The sequence below is a fragment of the Homo sapiens genome, chromosome 12 (assembly GCF_000001405.40).
Source record: "Homo sapiens chromosome 12, GRCh38.p14 Primary Assembly".
NCBI classification, from domain to species: domain Eukaryota; kingdom Metazoa; phylum Chordata; class Mammalia; order Primates; family Hominidae; genus Homo; species Homo sapiens.
In genome coordinates, this window is record NC_000012.12 from 27,684,013 (window position 1) to 27,711,728 (window position 27,716).

Consider the following 27,716-nt stretch of genomic DNA (forward strand, 5'->3'; position numbering starts at 1 on the left):
TCCTGACCTCGTTATCCACCCACCTTGGCCTCCCAAAGTGCTGGGATTACAGGCGTGAGCCACCGAGCCTGGCCTTGTTCTACTTAAAATTCTTTTATTTATTTATTTATTTTGGAGACAGAGTCTCACTCTGCTGCCCAGGCTGGAGCGCAGTGGCACAATCTTGGCTCATGGCAACCTCCACCTCCCAGGTTCAAGTGATTCTCCTGCCTCAGCCACCCGAGTAGCTGGGATTACAGGTGCACACCACTGCTCCTGGCTAATTTTTGTGTTTTTGGTGGAGATGGAGTTTCGCCATGTTGGCCAGGCTGGTCTGGAACTTCTGACCTCAGGAGATCCACCTGCCTCGGCCTCCCAAAGTGCTGGGATTACAGGCGTGAGCCACTGTGCCCGGCCTAAAATTCTTTTATTTAAACAGCTTTTTGTGAAGTAGGCTATAGACCTAACTACCCTAAGTATAATCTTTTTCAAGTAAGTAGCAAGTTTTAAACAGCCAACTTAAGTAGGCATTTCTCAATGTCAAAAAAATTTGGAGTTCAGTTCATGGATTTTTCTTCTCTGTCATTGAACCCAAGCCCCTTACCTTGATGAGCACATCACATAAACCTGCGTGAAATAATACTAATATGTGTAGTATGTTGCACATTTGCTATGTGTCAAACATCCTTTTAAGCATTTTGCTCATATTAATACTGGATTCTCAATAACCCTTTTAGTTAATATTACTAATATTATTATAGTGTGTATAATATATATTAAAAAGTTTTTAAAACTTTTTATTTTAAGATAATTTTAGATTTACAGAGGAGTTGCCAAAGCTAGAATTCTGTATACCTTTCACTCAGCTTCCTCTAACGTTAACATCTTACGTAATCATGATTACATTCATCAAAATTAAGAAATTAACGTAGATGTTAATACAATCAACTAAACTGAAGACTATTCACATTTCACCAGTTTTTCCAGTAAGGTCCTCCTTCTGTTCCAGGATCTAATCTAGGACACTACATTAAAACACACATTTTGTGACTTACGACTTCTGGGGTCAAATTTTCCAGGGTCATTTACTCTTTTATAGCCATTTCACATACGCTGCTTGTGATTTTAAGCTTGAATTTGTTCACATATATACTATATAATTATGTAATACTGTATATACATAGTATTATACACACATATGTAATACTGTAGATACATAGAGTATGTATATATATATATACACACACATACACATATATGCATGTTTGTATATATGTGTGTGTGTATCCATATACACACACACACACACTCTGTGTATCTATAGTATTATAATACTATTATTATCCCTACTTTTTTACATGTATAAAGGAAGGAATCGAGAGGTTGGGTAACTTGGTAACCAAGTTTCCACAGTTAGCAATAGAAAGTCATAGAGAGTTTGAACTCAGGCTGTTTCAAGATCCCTGCTTTTAATAGCTCACGATTATGACTAGAACACATTCAGTAAATATTTGCCTCCCTCTCTAAGTGTGAGTATGTTCCCCCTGAGAATGTGAACAAATTCAAGCTTAAAATCACAAGAAGCATCTGTGAAATGGCTATAAAAGAGTAAATGACCCTGGAAAATTTGACCCCAGAAATCCTAAGTCACAAAATATGTGTTTTAATGTGGATTAGATCCTGGAACAGAAGAAGGACCTTACTGGACAAACTGGTGAAATGTGAATAAAGTCTGCAATTTAGTCAATTGTACATTAATTTCTTAGTCTTGATGAATGTAATCATGATTATGTCAGATGTTAACATTAGAGGAGGCTGAGTGAAAGGTATACAGAATTCTATTCTATCTTTGGCAACTCCTCCACAAATTTAAAATTATTTTAAAATAAAAAGTTTTAAAAAAATTGGGAAGAAAATCACTCAGAAAGTCTGTTTTGATATAAAATAAAACTTTCTTTTTAAAATCCTTCGAAGTATAAAGAATTTCAAAAATAATTAACATTTTAATCACACTGTAAACATTGTGCATTCAGATATTTTTTTAAGCTGACAGACTAGTTAGATGAAAAGAGTCCAGACTGAAATGTTTGGAATGGGTGTCTCAATCCTAGATTAAAATAAGTACTCTTTCTAACATGTCTTAAGACACTACTTTTAAGGAATTACTCCAGAAAAACTTCAGGAAATAATTTTTGCCTGGTTAGTAGCCTCAAGGATTTAAACTGATTAATATTTTTATTAAATATTTCTGTAGTAGATTACATTTTTTTCTTTCTTTCATGAGAAGTGTTTTATCAGAAAGGTGTGTCTAAAATGGATGCTTTCCTTGTTTATTTTCTGGGTGTGTTTGGAAGTAGACTGTTGCTTATCTTCATACTGCTCCCAATATCACCTTCTTCTGAAATAATTTGTTTTGGTGTGTTTGGTATATTTGAAAATATTCCCAAGAGCCACAGACTGGTGAAAATTCTTCCTTGAAGGGGTTGATTGGTAATATATATATGTGATACTTATAACTTCATTTTTCTTCTCTCCTTGACTCTGACCAAAACCTTTGCACTGATTGATTATAGTTGTGCCAAAATTGTTCACAATGTCTGCTAGATAAACCATAATAATCTAGAGCTATTCAATAGCAGACAGGTCCTTACTAAAAAATAATTTAGAACTAGAGAATTATTAAGGTCAGGGAATAGTATAATAAGAGCACTGTTCTGATTTTCCCCAAAATTATGATGTGCCTTAGTTCAGAAAACCCAGCCTTGCTAGGAGCGGTGCCTCACGCCTGTAATCCCAGCTTTTTGGGCGGCTGAGGCCGGGGGACTGCTTGAGCCTAGGAGTTTGAGATAGCCTGGGCAGTATAGTGAGATCCTATCTCTCCAAAAAAAAAAAAGATGAAAAAAGAAAGCCAACTCTTGATCATGTTCACCAATGAGCATCATTCGCTCTTCACTATCTGCTGAAAGGAAACAGAGAGGGCAGTTTATCCAAAGCCTAAGTACTTTATCCACCGATAAAGTTCTCAAAACTAAAGAGGAAACAAATAAATTCCCTGTTTGTAGTATGTGCAGATCAAGTCAAAGCAGATCACCTTTTGTAGTGACCCAGCAAGTGCTTTTCTAACTGTGTTTTTCAGAGCCCTGGGGTTCTACAGATCTCAGAGCATCTGGAAGAGAGAGAAACAGGTGGAAGTCAGCTTCATTGGCAAAAAATACTAATCTGGGGTTTGGGGGAAGATTTTGTTCCAAATGGGAAAGTGGGTTCTGACAAGACCTTGGGGCATATTGGTTTGAGGGGCTCTTCTCCTTTTACTCCAGTTTTCTGAGATTCCCTAAGAAAGTCCTCCTGCTACAGGCCAGCACAGTGAGCTCCTCCTTTTGTTCTTTTTTGCAGGATGACTTACTGTCTCTGAAGGTTGTAAGTGTGCTACACCATCTCAGTATCAAAAGGGCCATCCAGGTCCTGAGGATCAATAACTTTGAACCAAACTGTCTACGGAGGCGGCCATCTGATGAGGTAGTGTTTTAAGATTGAGGTTTATAAGCATGCACTTCCCAGGCATGGGACTGTCCATGTGTCGAAACTAAGAGCCATTTTTCTTGGAGCCTGCAGGAAAAGCCTTAAAATCCAGCCTCATTTACTTCTTAGGCTTTTTCTGTATTCCTTCCTTTTCTCTCCATGACGGTTCCCCTTGTGTAACTAAAGCCAAGGGTTCTTTTTCAGTTATGCTTCTTCCTTTTCTTGGGTGTATTTTTTTTTCCTGACTCTAATCAACAGAGATAAATATCACTATAAAGACTTCCTTTTCTGGCCAAGTATAGTGGCCAATGCCTATAATCCCAGCACTTTGGGAGGCCAAGGCAGAAGAATCACTTGAGCCCAGGAGATCAAGACCAGCCTGGGCAACATAGGAAGACCCTGTCTCTACAAAAATAATAATAAATTAGCCAGGCATGGTGGGTGCACGCTGGTGGTCCCAGCTACTCAGGAGGCTGAGGTAGGAGGATCCGTCTGAGCCTGGGAGATGGAGGCTGCAGTGAGCCCTGATTATACCACTGCAACGCCAGCGTGGGTAAGAGAATTAGACCCTGTCTTAAAAAAAAAAAAGACTTCCTTTCCTAAAGCAATGCTTTATTAGTATATAAGAAAGCTTGAAACTCAAACTATGACAGAAATTCTTTAAAAGAGAATTTTTCCCTTTCTTTTTGCATTTAGTGGGTTGTTGAGTAACTGTACTCCATGGAGCAGACTTTTTAGACAGAAAATGCAATTTAATATTTAGGATCCTGGTTGTGTGTTCCCATAGAATACCATCGCCCCATCAGAAGTTCAGAAGTGGACTAACCATCGAGTGATGGAGTGGCTGCGCTCCGTGGACTTGGCAGAATATGCGCCCAATCTCAGAGGCAGTGGTGTCCATGGTGGGCTCATGGTAAAGCTCTGATTTAATTTAAAATTGACTTACTTTGCTTCCTTTAGTCTAGTCAGTAGGATATTATCAATTTTTGCTTATCATAATCCTAAAGTCATCTGACTCAACCCTCCTGCCCTATTTCTAGTAAACCTTTACTTTCAGAGTATTTGTATTGATATCTTATAACTCTAGATTGAATTTAAAGCCAGTTCTCTTTTATTGTCCTCTTTCATGTTGAATAACATGTAGCTGCTTTCTCTCATATGATCATGTTTGAAAACCCCTGCAAGGATGCAGATTGTATTTCTGCATGTTAATGTTGCTTAAGGAGGTGGCTCCCACAGACAGCACCCTAGAGAGGCAGAGCACTGATATTGGGATGCCTGAAGCCTGGATTTCAGGACCAGCTCTATCACTCACTAACTTGGGAGAAATGGAGAAAAGATATGTAAATTAAAGATCAAAGTCCATATTGTGTCTACCTCACCGGGCTGTTGAGAGGATCATTGGAGATAACCTAAGAGAAAGCTTTGCAAATTATAAAGCACAATACAAACATGTATGATTTGTGGTGACTTTTGACAAGCTTTTTTTTTTTTCTTTAAACAGGTTCTAGAGCCTCGTTTTAACGTAGAAACAATGGCTCAGTTATTGAACATCCCACCCAATAAGACTTTGCTGCGAAGACATTTGGCCACTCATTTCAACCTTCTGATTGGGGCTGAGGCACAGCACCAGAAGCGAGATGCCATGGAGCTGCCGGATTATGTACTTCTAACAGCTACTGCCAAAGTGAAGGTTGGTTCAGGCTCATACGGTTTAATAATTGCTTGGCGCAAAGGCAACGTTTTGTCGGTTACCTGGTTATTCTGTTTTCTGGGGTTTACTAAGTTTTGTGGGTGGGTTCCTTACCAGCAGATGCAGGAATCCTCAGCGCTTAGTTGTCTTGGGAGAAAGATGTTGGCCAATAGACAGTTGACAGATAGAGAGCTTTATTGAAGGGAAATAGGGAGCAAAGAGCTTATTGTAAGAATAAAAAAAAAAGAAGAAGAAGTACAGGGGCTGATCCTGCAGGGAAAACAGCAGGGTCGCAGTAACAATGTTTATTTAAAGGGACAGTACACTCCAAAAACCAAGGCACAGCGGGCTGCTGAAAGAGAATGAGCCCAAGAGTTCTGCATTGGGTTTTTATGATGTCCAGTTTTTTCTTGAAGCTCTCACCACTGTGTTAAGTCTCTGCCTTTTTTATCTCGTTTTCCCGCTCCTGCCTTGAGTCCTTGCCTTCTCCCTGCCTAGTTCCCAACCCAGGCTTGTGGGACCCTCCCTTAACTATAGTTGGTGCGCATGCGTGGGCCGGGTGTTGGCTGCACTTCCACCTAAAGGCTGCATTGCTCATTCCCGCCGCCCCAGGAAGGTTGTATACCAGTCAAATCTATACGTACTGTACCTGCGTTTCTCTTAGGAATTCTCCTTTACCTTCTTCCCCTCTTTATCAGCATGCAGCTAGCTACATTCTGGCAGGTGATCTGCAGAGTGAGTGATTACTGGGCGTCTTAAGGGGCGTTCCTTTCTGCATAGGTATTTCCCCTCCTCTCTGCTCAAATGGAGCATGCATGTTTTGGGTGGTTTCTGGGGTGCGAGATTTTCCAGACCTCTCTTTTCTCAGGGGCTTCCCCTCATGTCTAGCTATCTGCCCACTCTAACAAGTTGAAGGAACAGTTGACCCTTGAAGAACATGAGTTTGAATTACACAGGTCCACTCCTACTCGGATTTTTTTTTTTCAAGCAAATGTGGAGGGATGCAAACCCCACATATAGGGAGGCCCAACTTTTTAGGTACACGGGTACTGCTGGACTTGAGTATGTACGGATTTTGGTATACATGGGGGTCTTGGAACTAATGCTCTGTGTATACTGAGGGACAACTGAGTATATATCTTTTAAAAGTATAATAATTAAGAGAATGCACCCAGATAGCTCAGTCAGTAGAGCATCAGACTTTTAATCTGAGGGTCCAAGGTTCATGTCCCTTTTTGGGTGTTCCCTCTTAGGTGGGCATGGTGGCTCATGCCTGTAGTCCCAGTGCATTGGGAGGCCAAGGCAGGAGGATCACCTGAGTCCAGTAGTTCAAGGCTGCAATGAGCTCTGATTGAGCTATGAGCATGCTACTGCACTCCAGCCTGGACAACAGAGCAAGATTCTGCCTCTAAAAAAATAATAATGAACAGCATAATATTGGCTTCCATAATCCATGTATTGGCAATGCAGACAGCCCATAACTTGGGTCCAAATATTGATTGCAGTTGTTCTGTTTTTATAAATCAAGTACAGAAGAGAGGTTTCTCTTGTACAGATTTAGCTTCTCTGGCTTATGATTGACCAGCCTCGTAAATAGGAAAATACACTTTAAAAATGATTGAAGGTGGGCCAGAAGAGAATGGGTATTTCCTAGTTTACCTGGATTTATGGATCATACCAAATTCAGATTACTTTTTCTTCTTTAAAATTAATCCTAGATTAACTCTTCTAAATATGTTATCCCAACCAACTTGATGGGTTACTGGGTCCTCCAGAAATTTGTGCCAAAGTTCTTTTTAATTTTTTTTTACCCCCTCTATCTGCCTGAGTATCCAGTGACCAACCCAGTGACCATCATGGAGTTTCTCTTCTAAGTATCACTGATGTTTCCTCTCCAAAAAATTCTTTTAGCAGTCACCAGTCCTGTTATGGAAGCAGAATAGGCATACAAGATAATTATAGCCTCACCCAAAGAAAAAATATAGTGAAGTCTATTCTATTTTGCTAATCTTAGATTGAAAAACCTTGCAAAATTGGATTCAGCTGTGAGAAATCTCATTGCATTAAGTCCTGTCTAATCAAAACTATGAAGCCAGGTGCAGTGGCTTGTGCCTGTAGTTTCAGCTACTCCAGAGGCTGAGGCAGGAGGATCCCTTGAGCCCAGGAGTTTGAGGCCAGCCTGGGCAACATAGCAAGATTCTGTCTCTAAAAATAATAGTAATGATGTAATCAAATTATTCTTGCCATATTTTGTTTATCACGGTGACTATTCAGCTATTTGGCGTGAATAAGAAGAATAAGGTTAATTTCCTGAGATTCATAACAAGGGTCATTTATCATTGCATCATTTATATGCCTAGGATGCCCTTTTGTTTTTATCCATATTTAAACATCCAGCTACTTTTCTCTCTACCATGGGGTAAATAATTAAATTATACATATAGGAGGGAGGGGGCAACGCAAAAAAAAATCACATGTTATCAGGCCTTGATTATATGAATTTTATCAAATCCTTTGGATGTTTTTGTTTGCTTTTCTTTTAAAGCCAAAGAAACTTGCCTTTAGCAATTTTGGGAATTTGAGAAAGAAGAAACAGGAAGATGGTGAAGAATATGTTTGTCCAATGGAATTGGGACAGGCATCAGGAAGTGCATCTAAGAAAGGATTTAAACCTGGTTTGGATATGCGCCTGTATGAGGAAGATGATTTGGACCGGTTAGAGCAGGTAAATCCAACACTGTATAACTTTTTGCGAGTTCTTCCATCATTCAGACACTAAATGGGAACTTTGTATACTGTGTCTGATCAAGGACATTTTCTTCAAATAACTAAAAATACAGATAATAATAGTGAACACTTAGAGATCACTTATATCTTCCAGGTACCATCCTAAGCACTTAATGCATACTATGTTTATGGTAACCTTAAGACATGGAGAGCATTGTTATTCTCATTTTGGAGATAAGGAAACTGAGGCACAGAGAGCTAAGTAACTTGCCCAAGGTCCCCAACCTGTCTCTTTGGCTCCAAAGCCTGTCATATTTACCAATATTTTGCCATCTCTGTATTAAAACATGTTAGGAATGGACAGGTTATTCTACCTAGCCTTTTCAGATTAAAGTCGTGGGACCGCATATTTCCCCTCTAATCAACAATGCTTTGCTACTATTAGCAAAGGCATTAGACTAGCTGTGTCAGTAAAGTGTCTCTTCTAATTTTTCACTTCCAGTTGCAGTGGTGAAAGGAGATTATCACCAGAAGTGTTCTGTTGCTCTTACCCCATTCAGTGCTATTTGCATTATTTCTTCTTAGACTTTTGTTCCTCCTGCTGCACTTTCCCTGAAATTGTGAAAACACTTATGTCATGTTATGGTTTGTTATTTGCAGATGGAAGATTCAGAAGGGACAGTGAGACAGATAGGTGCATTCTCTGAAGGCATCAACAATCTGACGGTGAGTTTGTGAAATGAATTGAAAATGTTATTCTATAAATGTCTTTTATAACAACCCCAAAGGACCACATGTCTCTTGGAGAATGTGTAGCTCTGAGCTCTTGGCTCTCAGTGTGACTCCCTGTCTCCTTGTTTTCCAGCACATGTTAAAAGAAGATGACATGTTTAAAGATTTTGCTGCCCGTTCCCCCAGTGCCAGCATTACAGATGAAGACTCAAACGTTTGACCGTAGCACCTGGATGAACATTAGGAGTGCTTAGTCTTTTTTCTACTTGCTTTTCCAAACACTCACAGTATATACAACAGGCAGCGGATTGTCTATTGTTTGTTGTTCCAACTTCTGCTGTCGAGAAGTTTAAACAGAAAGCAGGAGTAATGTGCCGATTCTGAAGTTGCCACAAAAAATAAGACACTGGTGAATGAGAGTATAATTGTTTTTCTTCTATTTAATGTAAAAATCTGTGATATATTATATTTAAAGTGTTGCATTTAAGATGAGTATTTTACCAGAGTGTTTCCATTCATATCCGCGGTATGGAGGATTTGAGGAACAGTAACCAGGATGTGAATGATTTTGTTACATCAGTGTTCACTGTAGCCACCTAAGTAGGACATTATATGATTTCAGAATCAATATGTGGAACTTCTTTAAGCATTCAGTGTGCCCACTAAATGCCAGCCACACCTCCACTTGCCTCTTATTGTCTTATTTTTATATATTTTTCTAAATATATGTATATATACAGTACATAGAAAATAGAACTTTTATTTTGTGACCTAAGGACGATGGTGAAAAGATCACGTTTTCAAAACAATCTGGTGATCAGAATGTTCATATACCAGCTGGTTTCTGAAGAGGTCAGAATGATCTTTCTCCATACTGACTTTTAACAATGTTGATCATTGAGGCTAAATTAATATATATGAAATATTCCTTTTTGATGACACCACAAAATTGTTGAACAGTTTAAGAATTTCAACCTTAATCTTGGATCCCTTTACCTCATATGGAAGAACTTGAGGGACATTAGTATACTTTTTTTTAAGATGGAGTCTTGCTCTGTCACCCAGGTTGGAGTGCCATGGCATGATCTTGGCTCACTGCAACCTCCACCTCCTGGGTCAAGCCATTCTGCTTCAGCCCCAAGTAGGTGGGACTCCAGGCATGCACCACCATGCCTGGCTAATTTTTGCATTTTTAGTAGAGACAGGGTTTCACCATATTGGCCAGGCTGGGACTCGAACTCCTGACCTTGTGATCTGCCCGCCTCAGCCTCCCAAAGTACTGGGATTATAGGCATGAGCCACCACGCCCAGCCTGTTATTTTTTTATTATTATTGTTTTTTTTTAGTGACAGAGTCTCATTCTGTTGCCCATGCTGGAGTGCAGTGGCGTGATCATAGCTCACTGCAGCCTTGAATTCCTAGGCTCCAGTGATCCTCTCACCTCAGCTTCCCTAATAGCTAGGATTACAGGTGTGTGGCCTCCCACCCCACCCCACCCTTCACACCTGGCTGATTTTTCAAAAAGTTTTTTTGTAGAAACAGGGTCTCACCATGTTGTCCAGCCTGGTCTCAAACTCCTGTCCTCAAGTGATCCTCCCACCTCAGCCTTTCAAAGTGCTGGAATTACAGGTGTGAGCCACTCTGCCTGGCCTACCACTAACTTGAATACATTCAGAATCACCTCCTCTCCCCAAAATTTGTAGAAATAGTTTTTGAGGAAGCCAAAAGCAAAGCAGAAACCTTTACAGTATTGTTTCTTTTCTCTTTGTTAACTGTGTCATTACAGCAAAATACTAGCAGTCTGCCTAAACATGTTCATTGTACATTTCTCAGGCTATCAATGAATGGAGGTTTTTAAAAAGTTGAATATTTGTCTGAACATTTTATTTCAAAGTTCAAAAAAACAGAGGCTGCAAAATTCATTTTATAATGGCTATTTTGTGACGATAAGATGTAGTTCATGTTTTTCTGTAGCACTGGGCCCAAATATTCTTTGTAAAGAAAATCGCTGCAGCAAAAACTGTTACTGTGTTTATTATATTTGTAGAAGTATTAGAAAAATATTCTATTTTTTATTCAGTGCTGCGTAATTACCCATGGTAGCCAACCCTACAAAAGACAGGTTTTCACAAATTGAGGTGGAGGTGGGCGGTTCAGTATCTGCCACTGGACTTGATTATAAACTGTATTTGAATATCAGTGGTATTATCTTTTAAGTTGTCAGCAAGTTACCAAGGTATTCATTAAAGAACTTGTAATATCAAATTACTATTTATTCATAACAATTGATTTGATGCTAATAATAATTTTCTTTAAACTCTACCATTCATTATGTGGTAACTGTATTGAACTTACTTTATTTGGATTTTATTTTAATGTGACTAGATGTCACCACTTCAAAAAATCAATTTGTTCTTAGAACCTGGTTGAAAATACCAGGAAACTGTTACAGACGCCATTTTTTTTTTTTTTGAGACGGAGTCTTGCTCTGTTGCCCAGGCTGGAGTGCAGTGGCACAATCTCAGCTCACTGCAAGCTCCGCCTCCTGGGTTCACGCCATTCTCCCACCTCAGCTTCCCAAGCAGCTGGGACTACAGGTACCTGCCACCACGCCTGGCTAATTTTGTTTTTGTATTTTTAGTAGAGACGGGGTTTCACCGTGTTAGCCAGGAAGGTCTCAATCTCCTGACCTCGTGAATCGCCCCCCTCGGTCTCCCAAAGTGCTGGGATTACAGGCGTGAGCCACCATGCCCGGCCCAAATATTTTTTATTCAGGATGGTATAACCTAACTGATAATAGGTAATAAGGTTAAATTTTTTTATGACGTATTTTATTTACAAATATCATACACTGCTGGTGTTACCATATGAAAGGAAATAAAGTCAATTGATAATTGCCTCATTTTTATTGCCCTTATTTCATTTTCCGTTGTTCATAGTAACAGGCTTTGTTTCTGACATAGAAAATAACACAATCTCTTTATAAACTGCCATAAATTTGTTCGAATGGAGTTTATAATGTGTATCAACAGATAGGAATTTGAGGCCTTTGTTTGAGAAGCTTTTGTAGGAAAAGAAGCAACTGAGCTGGGGAATGAAGAATCATGGCAGAAGGTAAAAGAAACAAAAACAAACAAAAAAAGAAAATAGGAAAAGCAAATGGAAATGACTCACCTAGAGATTGGAAGAAGTTAGTTGTAGAAAGAGGTGTATGGATATTTAAAAAACTAACATAGGGCTGGGTGCAGTGGCTCATGCCTATAATCCCAGCACTTTGGGAGGCCGAGGCGGGAGGATTGCTTGAGCCTAGGAGATTGAGACCAGCCAGGACAACATGGTGAAACCCCACCTCTACAAAAAATACACAAAAATTAGCCAGGTGTGGTGGTATACACTTGTAGCCCCAGCTACTCAAGAGGCTGAGGTGAGATCACCTGAGCCCAGGGAGGTTGAAGCTGCAGTGAGCCATGATTGCGCCACTGCACTCCAGCCTGGGTAGCAGAGTGAGACCCTGTCTCAAAAAACAAAAACAAAAAGAACTAACGTGCTATTTTTACTTCAACTAAAACTTGGAAAGAGGAAACATGTTGGAAGAGATTACCAAAGATTAAAAGTAGAGTGAATATAACCTAGATAGAACAGATGTTTTGTGTGAAATTTAGTATCTTTAACTTAATAAACCAGCAGGAACTGTATGAACACAACACACCCAACTGACAAACAGAGAGAACTAACATGTTTATTTAGCTGTATGTATATATGCTTAACTACACCCGAGGAAGCTGTAGAGTTAGAAAAACATGAACCATTAACAGATGTGGCCTCCCTGCAGAACTTTTACTTTGAAAAAGAAGTACGTCTGAACCAGATTCACATGTTTGATATTTGGATGCAGAGAAAATGGGGCAGAAAGCATCGCAACAGTTGGCTCTGAAGGACAGCAAAGAGGTGCCCGTCGTCTGTGAGGTGGTCAGTGAAGCTATAGTCCATGCAGCTCAGAAACTGAAGGAGTACCTTGGATTTGAATATCCTCCAAGTAAACTCTGCCCAGCTGCAAATACTCTGAATGAGATCTTCTTAATCCATTTCATCACTTTCTGCCAAGAAAAGGGAGTTGATGAGTGGCTGACCACCACCAAGATGACCAAGCACCAAGCCTTCCTGTTTGGTGCAGACTGGATTTGGACCTTTTGGGGATCCAACAAGCAAATAAAGCTTCAGCTCGCAGTACAGACTCTGCAGATGTCTTCACCTCCTCCTGTGGAATCTAAGCCTTGTGACCTTTCCAATCCAGAATCAAGGGTAGAGGAGTCTTCCTGGAAGAAAAGTAGATTTGATAAGCTGGAAGAATTCTGTAACTTAATAGGAGAGGATTGCCTGGGTCTGTTTATCATCTTTGGTATGCCAGGAAAGCCTAAAGACATCAGGGGAGTTGTCCTGGACAGTGTCAAAAGTCAGATGGTGAGGAGCCATCTGCCAGGAGGGAAGGCTGTGGCTCAGTTTGTCCTGGAAACTGAAGATTGTGTGTTCATCAAAGAGCTGCTCAGAAATTGTCTGAGTAAGAAAGACGGGCTGAGAGAGGTGGGCAAGGTTTATATCAGCATTCTCTGACTTGGATATGTATTATGTGAGTGGCCTGTAAGAGGAAAAGAAAAAAAGATTCTAATAAGCAAGCTCACCTATTTGCATCATTCCAGCATGGGATTTTTTTTCATTTGTTTTCCCATTGATTGAAAATGATTACTGGGATCAAAGTACATTCATGTCGCAATTACAGAGAGAGAGAGAAAAAAAGAAAACCCTGGCTCTGCCTATGATTTAAAAACAGTTCAGGAAAAGTTATAATTTAGTTTAATATTTCATTCACTTATTCAATAATAAAAATGGAAGAGAGATAATAAAGTCACATTTAAAGTTTGATTTGCAAAAAAAAAGTGTCTGTTTGAAATAATAAGTCTAGCACTCAAAAGTATAAAATGTGTTTTTGCATCTGTTGGTGGGAGATGGGTAGGATAAAGTAGTGGGTAAGGCTACAGAGCAGGTTTAATTACATTTGTAATGCCAGTTTCAAGCCAGGCACAGTGGCTTATGCCTATGGTCTCAGCTACTCAGTAGGCTGAGGTGGGAGGATCGCTTGAGCCCAGGAGTTTAAGGCTACAGTGAGCTGTGATTGCACCACTGTGCTCTAGCCTGGGCAACAGAGTGAATCCTCATCTTTAAAAAAAAAAAAATAGTTTGGGTTCAGGACTCCTGCACAAAACTCACAGCGTTCTTTTCCTCTAACACTTACCTTATTCTGTCTTCTCCCTAGCTGCTGTCTCTGCACTGAGAGGACTTTGATGGGATTTACTTTGAGATTCACTTTAGTGTTAGCTCTGCCTATGATTTAAAAACAGTGACCTATAAAACTATTCCTTTTAATAATACTTGTTTAGCCTTTGCAGTAAGGAAGGTGTATTCACATATAATAACCATTTTTACTTAAAAGCCAGTGTGGAATTATAACAGTACAAAAAGGAATCACCATTATTTATTGCACTTGTAAGTCAAGTCAGATGCTTTACATATATTAGCGTGATTTGCATGTGTCTTCCATGACTCTAAGAGGTTTCTATTTGCCAAATCAAAGAGGCTAGATAACTCATAAATCTATTAAGTGGCTTGTAACAAAAAAGTAAAGTCTGCCCAGTTACAAAGCCCATATTCTACAGTCGTGTAAAGAAAATTCCCTGTAAGCCTATAAATTAGGTTAAGTAAAAATCAATTAAAAAAAAAAGAAGAAGAAAAGAAAATTCTTTGGCCAGGAAGAGTAGCTGTGATCCCAACACTTTGGGAGTCTGAGGCAGGAGGATTGCTTGAGCCCAGGAATTCAAGACCAGCCTGGACAACATGGTGAAACCCCATCTCTACAAAAAATACAAAAAGTCATGGTGATGTGTGCCTGTAGTCCCAGCTACTTGGGAGGCTGAGGTAGGGGGACTGCTTGGGTCCGGGAGGTCAAGGTTGCAGTGAGTCGTGATCGTGCCACTGCCCTCCAGCCTAGGCAACAGAGCAAGACCCCATCTCAATAAATACATAAAAAGAAAATTCTCTGATTTTAAACTACTGGAATTGCTGAGACAACAAAGGTGTTCACCTGCAAAAATGCTAGCTGGTTACTGTTGCTCATTTTTCCTCCATTTCCTGGCCTTAATCTGTGGCTACTTTTCCTGTTGTTGAACCACCTGTTCACTGATACGCAGCCATTAGAAACATGGGCTGAATCCTTTCAACTGCATCCAACCTCTTAAAATCGTTTCTGTTTCTGACAGTCTTCTTATGGCCTTGGCCTTTTCTGTATTTTGGAATTTAGGGCATGTTCCTGTGAGGCTGAATTAAGACATATGAGCGCAATGTGGCGTCATGCAGGTATTCCATAGTAAGAAATACATTTGTTGCTGTGATCTGTATAACTGAAGCATGTTGCAGTGCACTCTGATAGTTTGTCCTACATCGGTTTGTAAAATGCTGACTGCAAGCCACCAAATTGATATCATGACCAGCAATAGGCCACAATGCAGAGTCGTAAAAACTTTGTCATGGTAGAAGGAGTGAGAGCTTTCGAGTTTAGTTGAGGACAAACCTGCTTAAAATCCCAGCTCTTTTATTTACACGTATCCAACCAAACCTCTGTGCTGGTTATTCTCATTTCAACCTCCACATCTACTCCCCACCTTGTCTGCCTTCTTCTGGGCTCTAACTGCATCACTCTGGCTTCCATCCAGTGGAGAGCACGAGATCAGAAAGGGGACAGGTCTGGAATGTATTAGCCCAACTTTCCCTGCCTCACTACGATGCTTGGTTCCAGACAGCTCCTGTCCAGCTGGCCCTTCTCTGAGACTCCAGCTCCCTCCCCTTCCCCTCTCAGGCCATTGTCCCTTCCGGGGTGCTTCATCATTCTTTGTTAGTTCCTTGCACCCTGCCCCCACCCTGTAGATGTACTTTTTCCTTAGGTAGACTTGAGGGTGCCATTTGATTTCTTCTGTAGCCCTAATGCCTCCTGATTTTCCTATCTAAAAACCGGAGATGACAATACCCACCTCGTAGAACTGCTATTCGTTATAGAATTAAGAATAGCCAAGCGCGGTGGCTCACACCTGTAATCCCGGCACTTTGGGAGGCTGAGGCAGGCAGATCACGAGGTCAGGAGTTCAAGACTAACCTGACCAACATGGTGAAACCCCATCTCTACTAAAAACACAAAAATTAGCCGTGGCACATGCCTGTAATCCCAGCTACTCAGGAGGCTGAGGCAGGAGAATCACTTGAACCCGGGAAGTGGAGGTTGGAGTGAGCTAAGATGGCGCCACTGCACTCCAGCCTGGGTGACAAAGAGAGACTCCGTCTCAAAAAAAAAAAAAAAGAAAAAAGAAAAAAAAATCAAAAGTGCTTAGTACGATAATCCAGATCCACTCTTTGATTCTTTATCCAGCCCAGTAAACAGGATCCACAGTGAATCTAAAGGCGCGTCATTAACTTCAATCTAGATTTAGGCTTAAGTGCATGCCCTGTTTTCTTTCCATTGAGCCTGGTGTTCTTCAAATTAAAATACGCCTTGCAACATTGGGGAACACCAACCCCCAAATCCCTTCTCTTCAACTTTATCTCCCAAAGAAGTCCTGGGGGAAAGCGAGGAAAGGAGCATTCATAATCCCCATGATGCCTGCAGCTTCAGGAAAGAAGAAAGGGATGTATATTCTCTTCAGCCTCAAGAAATGGCTTTGTTTTCCCTCCCGTCAATGTTTATTCACCCCCATAGCCCTCTCCTTGAGGAACCTGGAATAGGAAGAACATATCTGTGGCCTTGTAGTTGTCCTTCATTAGAAGCTGGCATGAAAGAGTGTTTAATAAAATGGAGTATTGATATACACAATTACTTGTCAATTAAAAAGGACTTTTTTAAAAGAAGGTGAGTATTGGCAGAGACATCTGTTTCTTCTTTTTGGTAGTGAAGTCTCCAATAGCATAGAGTCAAGCTTAGCTTTTGCAATTTGGGTTAATATATTGCCAAAAAAAAAAAAAAGGCTTAAAAGTGTAAATGGAAGATAGATTCATTCAAACATAATTGCTGAGTGCCTATTACATGTCGGGCTTGTTCTGTGCCCTGCCAATCTAGCAGTACAAAGAACAAAGTTCCTAGTCTCAGGGAGTTTATATCTTAATGGTGGAAGACAGACAAACACGTGCAGATGTTTAAATGCATATTTTCAAAACATCTCACGCCTGTAGTAATCCCAGCACTTTGGGAGGCTGAGGCCGGCGGATCACTTGAGTTCAGGAATTTGGAACCAGCCTGGACAACATGATGAAACCCTGTCTCTACTAAAAATACAAAAATTAGCCTGGTGTGGTGGTGTGTGCCTGTAGTCCCAGCTACTTGGGAGGCTGAGGTGGGAAGATCGCTTGAGCCCAGGAGGAGGAGGTTACAGTGAGCCCAGAACCAGCCACTGCACTCCAGCCTGGGCAACAGTGAGACCCTGTCTCAAACAATAATCAATTTTAAATTACATCATGAGTAATGTAAAGAAAAAGCATGATCAGGGAATAAAGAATGTTAGGAGGTGCTATTTTATATTGGGTGGTGAAGGAAGGCCTCAGCGAGGAGGGGGCAATTAGCTAGAAATCTGAAGGAAGACACTGAGCATCAGTGCAGACATTTGGGAAAGGGTGTTCTAGGCACAAAGAACTGCAAATGCAAAGGACCTGGAATGGGAGTAGATGTGAATGTGGATAGCAAAGGAGGCTGACGTGGACGGAGCAGAGTGAGCTGGAGGCGAGAGGTGGGAGATGAGTTTGCAGAAGTAGCCAGCAAACTCATCAAGCTGGTCAAACTTGTAAGCTGAAGTAAGGACTCAACTATTCTGAGTGATGGGGGAGAGAAATGTCTTGACTGACCTGTACGTTAAAAGCCTCACTTGAAGCCAGGCATGGTGGCTCACACCTGTAATCCCAGCACTTTGGGAGGCCAAGGTGGGTGAATCACTTGAGGCCAGGAATTCAAGACCAGCCTGGCCAACATGGTGAAACCCCGTCTCTACTAAAAACATAAAAATTAGCCTGGCATGATGGCACATGCTTGTAATTTCAGCTACTCAGGAGACTGAGGCAGGAGAATCGCTTGAACCCAGGAGGCGGAGGTTGCAGTGAGCCGAGATCGTGCCTCTGCACTCCAGCCTGGGTGACAGAGCAAGACTCTGTCTCAAATAAACAAACAAACCCTCACTTGATTACTGGGGGGAGACTTGATGGTAGAAGAAAAAGAAGAGAAGCAGAACCCAGGTAAGCAGCTAGGAAGCTGTAGTCACCCAGATGAGAGAAAAAGGTGGCCTGGACCACACTCGTACAAGAGGAGGTATGAAGAGGTCAGATTTAGAATGTAGTTGAAAGTAAAGTGTACAGCATTTGCTGATGATTGGATGTGGGGTTTGAAACATGTAACAATTAGATGCTGTATTTCCAAATGTCTTGAATAATAAGAATATATGCAAGGACAGAAATAAATTTGTCTTTGACTTTCCTTTATCCAAAGAAATCAGAAGATGGAGAAAAGCATTTTAGAGAAACAGTGCCAGGGTATGTGATTGCCAGGTGGGCACTGCATGACTGGGTGCCTCACTGAGGAAAAAGTAACTCAACATGGGCAAAGGAGATCCCAAGAGGCAAAAATGTCATTATACGCATTCTTTATGCATACTTGTCAGAAGGAGCACAAGAAACAGCACCCAGATGCTTCTGTCCTCTTCTCAGATTGTTCCAAAAAGTGCCAGAGAGGTAAAGGACCGGGTCTGCTATAAAGGAAAATTTGAAGACTTGGCAAACTCAGGCAAAAGACCCATTATGAAAGAGAAATGAAAACCTATATCCCTCCAGAAAGAGAGGCAAAAAAAAAAAAAAAGCCCAAGAGGCCTCCTTTGGCTTTTTTCTTGTGTTCTGAGTATTGCCCCTGAGTCAAAGGAAAATATCCCGGCCTATACATTGGTGATTTTGCAAAGAAACTGGGAGAGAGGTGGAATGACACTGTTGCAGATGACAAGCAGCCTTATGAAAAGAAGGCTGCGAAGCTGAAGGACAAATATGAAAAGGATATTGTAGCAGACTGAGCTAAAGGAAAGCCTCATGCAGCAACAAAGGGAATTGCCAAGGCTGAAAAAAAAAGAAAAAAAGAAGAGGAGGATGAGGAGGAAGGAGAAGAAGAAGATGATGATAAACGAGTTGGTTGTAGCAGTCTTTCTCTTGTCTATAAAGAATTTAACAACCCCTGTATACAACTCACTCCTTTTAAAGAAAAAAAAATTGAAATGTAAGGCTGTGTAAGATTTGTTTTTAAGCATTACAGTGTCAGCTGGGCGCGGTGGCTCACACCTGTAATCCCAGGACTTTGGGAGGCCAAGGTGGGTGGATCATGAGGTCAAGAGATCGAGACCATCCTGGCTAACACGGTGAAACCCCGTCTCTACTAAAAATACAAAAAAATTAGCCAGGCATGGTGGCGGGTGCCTGTAGTCCCAGCTACTTGGGAGGCTGAGGCAGGAGAATGGCATGAACCCGGGAGGCAGAGCTTGCAGTGAGCCAAGATTGCGCCACCGCACTCCAGCCTGGGCGGCAGAGCGAGACTCCATCTCAAAACAACAACAACAACAAAACAAAACAAAAACAGAAACAAACAAAAAACATTACAGTGTCTTTTTGTACAATTAACAGATTACAAAATGTCTCTTAAGATAGCCCTGTCCTGGTGATATTTTTAATAGACACTAACCTTGCCTGATACAGAATGGGGGTTGTAATTGGCACGGAAATTTAAAGCAGGCTTTGTTGGGGCACAGCACAGATTAGTTATATAGGAGGATAGTTTTTTCATCTTCATTTGTCTCTGATGCAGCTTATACGATATAGTTGTTGTTCTGCTGAGTACCACTCTGTAATTGAAAAAAAAGAAGTTGCAGCTGTTTTGTTGACATTCTGAATACTTCTAAGCAAATACAATTTTTTAAATTAAAAAAGCATTTTAGCCCTTTGCCTTCAGTAAACTGGGCATGAATAAGCCCAGGTGGCATCTTTTAAAGTGTTAAGTAATAACGGTTCCCATGTTCAATGCTTCTGGGAGGTTATAGTCCTCAGTCAATTAATGTTTCCTCGGTGTATAGCGACCCCTGTCTGCAGGAATGCTGTGTGGAGTACACTCTCAAGAAGGAGGTGATGTAAAGAACATGCAACTTGGAATCAGATGCGGATTTGAGTTTCAATGCTCATAAGAGCAGAGTCAAGTGGCTTAACTTTTTGCTTCCTTATTTGTAAAATGGGAATGACTTCAACTACAATCATGCATTGCTTAATGGGGATATGTTCTGAGAAATGCATTGTTAGGCAATTTCATTGTTTTGTGAACATAAGAAAGTGTACTTACACAGACCTAGACAGTACAGCCAACTACACACCTAGGCTATGTGGCATAGCTCCTAGGCTACAAGCCTGTACAGCATGTTACTTTACCAATACTGTAGGCAACTGGAACACAATGGTAAATATTTGTGTATTTAAACATATCTAAACACAAAAAAAGGTACAGTAAAAATAAGGTATAAAAGGTAAAACATAGTACACTTATATGGGGCACTTACAACAAATGGGGCTTGCAGGACTGGAAGTTGCTCTGGGTGAATCAGTGAGTGGTGAGTGAATGTGAAGGCCTAGGACATTACTGTATGCTACTGTAGACTTCACAAACACTGTTCACTTAGGCTGTGATACATTTATAAAACAATAAAGTAATTGTGCTATGATGTCACAATAGCCACAATGTCACTAGGGAATAGGAGTGTTTCAGCTCCATTATAGTCTTATGGGACCACCATCATATATGCACAGTGGTTGACTGAAACGTCTTTATGTGGCACATGACCGTAACTCAAAGAAGACAAAGCTTGTGAAAATATTTTATATACTGAAGTGTAAGCTTACGAAAATTTCAGAGAACCTAGTATAAATTGTAAGTATTCATGTTATAAACAGCTGAAAGCCATAAATCAGACTCACCATGTTTTTTTTTCAAGTGAAAATTAAAATGTGAAGCTTTTGTTGATTTTTAAAATACTGCATACTCATTTAATTTTTTCAAGCTGTATGCTTGGTGTAAAAATTCAAGTACAGAAATGGAGAAAGTGAAGTCTTCAGGAGTGTCTCCTCTATCCTCATATCCACTGCCTCAAATTTGCTGTTGACCCTTCCAGAATTTGCATTGCAAAAAAATAAAAATAAAAATATAATACACAAATGAGATTACATAATCCATAAATGCCTTATAACCTGCATTTTAAAAAAACTTAACAATATATTGTGGACAATTTTCTATGCTAATAGATTTATATCCACCTCATCCTTGTTAAGGCTGACACCAGTGGTTTTCCATCTTGCCTCAATATTAGATTCACTTGAAGAACTTAAACAAAAAACAAAACAAAACCCTAGTGCTCCAAACACATCTAGACCAATTAATCAGCATCTCAGAGGGAGTCCAGATAATTTTTTTTTTAAATCTTCTGAGGTTATTCTAATGTTTAACCAGGATTGGGGCCCAGGTATCTTAAGTAGTGATGCAGGATTTTTCTCGGCTCCTTTGCTGGACTCCCAGCAGGGGCGCTCTGTCTACTAGGCCCACCACACTCAGCCCCTTGTGGGAGGGAGCACATGAGTGAGTGAGTCCAGGGTCCAGCCTGCCACTTCGCCACCGCAGGAGAAAGCTTTGTGCAGAGCCCGCAGCCAGACCAGTGGTGTCGCCTTGAGGGGAATGCAGTGGCACCCAGGCAAGGATGCCTGAGACCCCAAAGCCCCAGAGGGGGTGGTAGTGTGCTGATGAGCTTTTTTAGTTCTGCCATCCACAGCCCGATGGATGGCAGCATGTTAGCAGCCCGGTTGGCCCCTGGCCCCCTCACATGGGGTGGCTGTCCTCTGCTGACCAGGGCAAAGGGTCAGTGTGACAGCCTTTCTGGGTACCCACACTTGGATCTCAAGCTCTTGTCCAGCATCCAAGAAAAATTAGGTCACCCTTGATAATTGAACGATAGTGAGGGCAGAGAATTTTATTGAGCGATGAAAAAGCTCTCAGCCGAGAGGGGAGCTGGAGATGGGATGGGAAGGGCTGTTCATCTTCCCCTGAGGTCAGGAGGTCTCTTCCCTGAAGTCAGGCCATCTCCCACCTCTACCAACTGAGTCTGGGGTCTTTACAGGCACAGGATGGCGGTGGGGTGGACTGTAGGTAATACTGGAAAAGGCAACATTTGATTGGTTAAAATACATTATTCAGAAAGAACCAATAGGGAGAGAGTGGGCAAACAGGAATAGAAGTTCTCACTCTGGTCCATGGGCTTCACACTGTTTTTGGCTTGAAGGTCGGGTTTCACCGGAGACCCACCTCTGTCTGCCTAGGATTTCTCTGCCACCTGCCTCTATTAGTAGTACTCTGCATTATATGAATACACCATAATAGATTTAACCCATACTGTTTTGATGAACATTTAGGTTGCAAGGTCTCTATACCTATTCCTTATATTTGCATATTGTCTACCATACTTGTGAATAGACATACTTTGTTCACCTACTATAAAGCAAGTTAGTTTTGAAGGCCGGGTGTGGTGGTTCCCGCCTATAATCCTAGCACTTTGGGAGGCCGAGGCGGGCGGATCACTTGAGGTCAGGAGTTCAAGACCAGCCTGGCCAACATGGTGAAACCCTGTCTCTACCAAAAACACAAAAATTAGTTGGGCATGGTGGCACATGCCTGTAATCTCAGCTACTTGGGAGGCTGAGGCAGGAGAACGACTTGGACCCCGGAGGTGGAGGTTGCAGTGAGCTGAGATTGTGCAACTGCACTCCAGCCTGGGTGACAGAGCAAGACTCCTTCTCAAAAAAGAGAAAAAAAAAAAAAGAAGTTAGTTTTGATTAAAAGTAGCTTTTTAATACAAAGGATAAACGCTTGAGGTGATGGATACCCCATTTACCCTGATGTGATTATGATACATTTTATGTCTGTATCAATATATATCATATACCCCATAAATATATATACTTCCTATGTATCCATAAAGATAAAAAATTAAAAAGTAGCTTTTATTGAATTAATTCAGGTTTAAATATAATAAAAACCAATTGTAAGACAGCTTAATATTTAAAATTGTTCTACACAGGACCAGCTACATAATTTGTAGGTTCCAGTGCAAACTGAAGATGCAGGACTCCTTGTTAAAAAAAGTATTAAGAATTTTAAGACAGCAACAGCAAAGCATTAGGCCAAGCGCAGGCACGTTGTATGTCTATGAAGCCAGCCTAGCTTCTATGATGTGTTAGATTACATGGTCACAAAGTTTGAAGAAAATATTTTTTTTGTTTGTTTGAGACAGGTCTCACTCTGTCGCCCAGGCTGGAGTGCAGTGGCACTATCTCGGCTTTCTGCAACCTCTGCCTCCTGGGCTCAAGTGATCCTCCCACCTCAGCCTCCCCAGTAGCTGGGACTACAGGCACACATCACCATGCCTGGCTAATTTTTGTATTTTTTGTAGAGACAGGCTCTTGCTATGTTGCCCAGGCTGGGCTTAAACTCCTGAGCTCAAGTGATTCCCCTATCTCAGCCTCCCAAAATGTTGAGAGTACAGGAGTGAGCCACTGCACCCAGCAAAGAAAATATTTTTATCGTGAGTGAATGATTGCACCTCTAAGATCACTGCCAAGTGAAAAATTATGTAATCTTAGTAACCCCTATGTGCAAGATAGTACATGCTTTACTCTTTACACTGCACAAGACAGATATTTTTGCTTGTTGATAGCATTAATAGCATTATGAATGAATTTTTAACTTTTACTATAGAATGAAACTTACTGTACTTGATGCCACGGAAAACAATAAGTATTTTTCTGGCTCCTCTAGCTCTGGTCATCTATCCACTTTAGTCTTAGGGAGAGAGTACAACAAAAGATAGAACGCATAGCAAGGTAGAATGGGGACCTATGTCTTTAATATCTTGCTCAGAAATTAAGAAATATTGTTAGAGTAGGTAGCTAGTCATGAATGAGCAGGGCAGGAGAGGGCTCCCCTTATACACACACCCCCCTCCACACACACACACGCACACCCCAGGAATTTCAGGCGACCATCAGGTGACGGTCAGGTGGTTATTAACTGTCTTTCTAAAACAATAATTGGTTGCAGCCAGCACCAGGGAATAGCATTCTCCCAATAGATACAAAAAACCTGAAACTAGTGATCAGCAACTTTCCAGTAAGATCTCAGGAGCTGGGTGAGTGTGCGCAAGCGTGCACATTAAGAAGCAAAATGGCAGAATTTAACTGGTATTTGATCTTCTAGGGACGTGCAACTGCTAATGGAAGAATGCCTCAAGTAAGCATGTATACGACTCCAATAAACACACTATGCATGCTCCCCTCCCAAGTCCTGGCAAGCCACTGTGCATGCAGACAGCCCACCCCAAGGGAAAAATCAGGGGAGAAGGGACATAGACCCCAGAAGTATGCCAACGTATAAAACCCTAAGTCAAAGGTCAAATGGGGTACTTGACTTTCAAGTCGCCCACTTGGCCCTCTTCCCAGTGTATTTCCTTCCTTTTGTTCCTGCTGTGAAGCTTTTTAATAAACTTTCACTCCTGCTCTAAAAGTCGCTTCTGTCTCTCCTTCTGCCTTATGTTCCTCGATCAAATTCTTTCTTCTGAGGAGGCAAGAATTGAGGTTGCCGCAGACCTGTACAGATTTGCCGCTGGTAACAGTATGAATATGATCATACTCCTTTTGTCCCTAAATTTCTATGGTATAGGACTTGCACTTTACTAAAATATACAAACTTGCAAGAAAAGGAGGCTGTTGCATTGACCCTACACTTAATGCCAATGCCCACCGTTTATATTTATGCCTTTAATCACGACTGTCGTAAGAAAAATATTATTGCTGTCATTTTCCTTGAAACTGAAACTCAGAAAGATAAGGTAGATTTGCCCAAAATCATAAAGAACCAGAGCCTGGATTCAAACCTCACCTCCATCTGATTAAAAAGGCCATGATTTTGATCTTAAAAATAGTCCGAGGAGAGGAGAGAACTCCATTGGAATATGGGGGCAGAAGGTGATGTGATGTGATGTGTCTACCAGCCAAGGAGTGCCAGCAACCATTAGAAGCTAGGAGGGAGGCATGGAACAGATTCTCCCTCAGAACCTCCAGAAGGAACCAACCCTGCCGACACCTGGATTTTGGACTTTCCAGACTCCAGGATTGTGAGAGAGGAAATTTCTGTTGTTTTAAGTCACCCAGTTTACGGTACTTTGTTCCAATCCCCTAGGAAACTCATACATCATGCTTCTATTTTGGAACAATAACAGGATGGTAAAAGTCCAGAAAAGATGAAGATGATGAATATTACAAATACTTGTCCATCTCATGCTATTTGTCCCCCTCCCATACCTTACTGATTGATGTCCATGGCGCACTGAATGTTCACAGCTAGAATATTCTTGGACACCTGCATACCTCTGCTCTACTGGTTGTATGCTTACCAAGAATCGGTTTTGTTTATTTTTAGTTGTTTTTACTGTTATAATTTTGTCACTTTGAGACAAAATAGGGAAATAGGCCAGACCCATGCCTGTAATCCCGACATTTTGGGAGGCCAAGGCAGGAGGATCACATGAAGCCAAGAGTTTGGGACCAGCCTGGACAACATAGCAAGACCCCCAACTCTACAAAAAACTTAAAAATAGAAAAAATAGGCCAGGTGCAGTAGCTCACGCCTGTAGTCCTATCACTTTTTTGGGAGGCCAAGGCAGGAGGATCGCTTGAACCCAAGAGTTTGAGACCAGCCCTGGCAACACTGTGAGACCTCATCTCTGGAAAAACAATTTTTTTTTTAATTAGCTGGGTGTGGTGGTGCGTGCCTGTAGCCTCAGCTACTTGAAAGGCTGAGGTAGGAGGATCACTTGAGCCTGGGAGGTCAAGGCTGCAGTGGGCCATGGTCCTGCTACCACATTCCAGCCTAGCAACAGAGCAAGACTCTGTCTCAAAAATAATAATAATTAATTAATTAATTAAAATAATTTTTAAAATAAAGAGAAAATAGAGAATTTATTTTATTTTATTTTATTTTTGAGGCGGAGTTTTGCTTTTATTGCCCAGGCTGGAGTGCAATGGCGCGATCTCGGCTCATCGCAACCTCTGCCTCCCGGGTTCATGCGATTCTTCTCTCGAGTAGCTGGGATTACAGGCATGTGCCACCACACCCGGCTAATTTTGTATTTTTAGTAGAGACCAGGTTTCTCCATGTTGGTCAGGCTGGTCCCAAACTCCTGACCTCAGGTGATCCACCCGCCTCGGGATCCCAAAGTGCTGGGATTACAGGCGCGAGCCACCGCGTCCGGCCGAGAATTGTTTTATTAAGGCTTGTATGTTAATTCATCCTACCGTAGAAAATTTAAGAGTGTTCATTAAAAGTTTATTTTCTAGGTCCTGATGAGTTCTGACTTTCTGTAATTCTAAGCTGATCTAACAACAAGCTAACCATATATAGCTAAAAGTTATAGGCTACGTACACGCGGTGTTCACTGTATGCCAACGCTGTACACAAATATTTGTCTATGCTAACTTGTCTGAGATCATACATCCCAGAAGTGGTGAAGTCAAGTTTGAAACCCAAGCACTCTGGCTCGGGATACTGCTTCTCTCCCCTTAGCGCATATTACTGGCATTAGTTGAAGACTTCTTTAATCCAAGTAAATGTAGAAAAGCAACAATTATAAATAACAAGAGTCCCTCGGGTAGACCGCCTGACTCTCGGATCAACTGAGGTTCCACCCAGAGCACGCCCGCCTTCAGTGAGCCGCAACCCCTATCCCTACGGTCTTTATCTGCAATTCTCTACGAACTGATTCACTCGATTTTTAAGGATTTTTTTTGTTTTCTTTTCATTACTTCTTTCAGTTTGGGGGAATCTTCCTGCACATTTGACTCGGCTCTGAGTGCGCAGACCAACGTGTTTCCTCTTTCTCCAGCCTAGGGCGGTGCCAGCCCAGGGAGCCTGCGCTTAGCGGCCCCAGGCCCGCCCCTGACACTGAACGCCGCTTGTCCCCTCCGGCTTGCCGTCCTCGCAGCCATGGCGGCCGCCGCGCTCCCAGCATGGCTGTCTCTGCAGTCGAGGGCAAGGACTCTGCGTGCATTCTCCACTGCCGTCTACTCGGCCACTCCGGTCCCGACACCTAGCCTGCGTGAGTGTCTGTCTCGTCTTCTCTGGGCTTTGGGGGAGGTGCAAGAGCGGAATACCGGCCTCATGAAGGGTGCCGCGGTGGCTGAGCCAGCGCCGCCCGGGGGAGGCCAGTGCGTCCGCTGCCAGGCCCGTCTGGTAGGAAAACCATGGACGTGGGTCTGTGCTCTGCACCCGCGTTGCCCGGCTTCTAGCCGCCTGTTTCTGCCCTGGGTGCTCTGGGAGTTTGCTCAGAAAGCTTACATCCCCCTTCCCCGTGACCTGCTCCTGTGTTGCCCCCGTCCACAGCCCCTGGCACAGGTTACTGGTGCTGTGTTGTTTATCGGGCATCGGCGCTGTTGAACCATGGATTTCCCCAAACATTAAGAGAGTCATACGGCTGTGCTAGGACAAATTGCTGCTCTGAATTCCAGGCCACCAAATGGGCGGCCTTCATTCAACAGGCGTTGATGACCTCCATTTAACAGAGATTGTAGGGATGCTTGATAGCGTGCTTACCCCGGAGGACTCTAGTGGAAAATACAGATTTATTAGCGGAGAAGTGCTATGTAGGGTGAGAGGCGCTGTGATAGAAGTGTGGCTAGAATGACGGGAGCGTTGAGGAGGAGCTGGCGTGAGTCTAATCAATAGGCGGATCCTACCTGTGCTACTTCCTGTTATATCTCTAATTTACTCTCCTCATACTACCAACTATCTAGTTCAGGTGACCATCTCATTTCTACAAGTTTTTTTTCCGTTTCCTGTTTCCCCTCTTGCTCTCCTACATTGAATTCTCAA

General features: G+C 41.8%; 3 protein-coding genes, 1 long non-coding RNA gene and 1 pseudogene across 50 annotated transcripts in view, besides 4 other annotated features; 4 read left to right on the top strand and 1 right to left on the bottom strand.

Moving 5' to 3' along the window:
- PPFIBP1 (PPFIB scaffold protein 1) overlaps positions 1 to 11,552 on the top strand; it is a 171,359-nt gene extending 159,807 nt beyond the window's left edge. For all 45 annotated transcript variants that reach the window (XM_017020056.3, XM_047429753.1, XM_047429758.1 and 42 more), the window contains 6 exons: positions 3,373 to 3,495; positions 4,286 to 4,411; positions 5,003 to 5,191; positions 7,737 to 7,916; positions 8,579 to 8,644; positions 8,784 to 11,552. In XM_017020056.3, coding sequence (XP_016875545.1) covers positions 3,373 to 3,495; positions 4,286 to 4,411; positions 5,003 to 5,191; positions 7,737 to 7,916; positions 8,579 to 8,644; positions 8,784 to 8,870 — 771 coding nt within the window. In that variant the 3' untranslated portion in view covers positions 8,871 to 11,552. The remainder of the gene's footprint in view (positions 1 to 3,372; positions 3,496 to 4,285; positions 4,412 to 5,002; positions 5,192 to 7,736; positions 7,917 to 8,578; positions 8,645 to 8,783) is intronic.
- Positions 6,824 to 26,735, bottom strand: MRPS35-DT (MRPS35 divergent transcript). The gene is made up of 5 exons (XR_001749448.2): positions 26,651 to 26,735; positions 20,726 to 20,912; positions 19,449 to 19,608; positions 8,470 to 8,530; positions 6,824 to 7,114 (listed from the first exon to the last, which is right to left on the bottom strand). It is a non-coding gene; the product is annotated as an MRPS35 divergent transcript (long non-coding RNA).
- Positions 12,435 to 13,584, top strand: REP15 (RAB15 effector protein). The gene has a single exon (NM_001029874.3). It carries the CDS (start codon positions 12,551 to 12,553, stop codon positions 13,259 to 13,261), a length of 711 nt encoding a protein of 236 aa, NP_001025045.3. The 5' UTR covers positions 12,435 to 12,550; the 3' UTR covers positions 13,262 to 13,584.
- Positions 18,326 to 18,894, top strand: HMGB1P49 (high mobility group box 1 pseudogene 49; annotated as a pseudogene).
- Positions 20,976 to 21,487: an enhancer, noted in NCBI's record as "H3K4me1 hESC enhancer chr12:27857921-27858432 (GRCh37/hg19 assembly coordinates)". NCBI's record gives its function as "activates a minimal SCP1, AML or CMV promoter by ChIP-STARR-seq in primed H9 embryonic stem cells {active_cell/tissue: H9 hESC(primed)}" and the evidence as "EXISTENCE:reporter gene assay evidence [ECO:0000049][PMID:30033119]".
- Positions 26,251 to 26,330: an enhancer, noted in NCBI's record as "active region_6147". NCBI's record gives its function as "activates an Ori minimal core promoter by ATAC-STARR-seq in GM12878 lymphoblastoid cells {active_cell/tissue: GM12878}" and the evidence as "EXISTENCE:reporter gene assay evidence [ECO:0000049][PMID:35858748]".
- Positions 26,361 to 26,440: an enhancer, noted in NCBI's record as "active region_6148". NCBI's record gives its function as "activates an Ori minimal core promoter by ATAC-STARR-seq in GM12878 lymphoblastoid cells {active_cell/tissue: GM12878}" and the evidence as "EXISTENCE:reporter gene assay evidence [ECO:0000049][PMID:35858748]".
- Positions 26,451 to 27,240: an enhancer, noted in NCBI's record as "active region_6149". NCBI's record gives its function as "activates an Ori minimal core promoter by ATAC-STARR-seq in GM12878 lymphoblastoid cells {active_cell/tissue: GM12878}" and the evidence as "EXISTENCE:reporter gene assay evidence [ECO:0000049][PMID:35858748]".
- The window catches only part of MRPS35 (mitochondrial ribosomal protein S35), a 45,464-nt gene continuing 44,567 nt past the window's right edge, over positions 26,820 to 27,716 (top strand). For all 3 annotated transcript variants that reach the window (NM_021821.4, NM_001190864.2, XM_017019780.2), the window contains exon 1: positions 26,820 to 26,943. In NM_021821.4, the coding sequence (NP_068593.2) occupies positions 26,832 to 26,943 (112 nt within the window). In that variant the 5' untranslated portion in view covers positions 26,820 to 26,831. The remainder of the gene's footprint in view (positions 26,944 to 27,716) is intronic.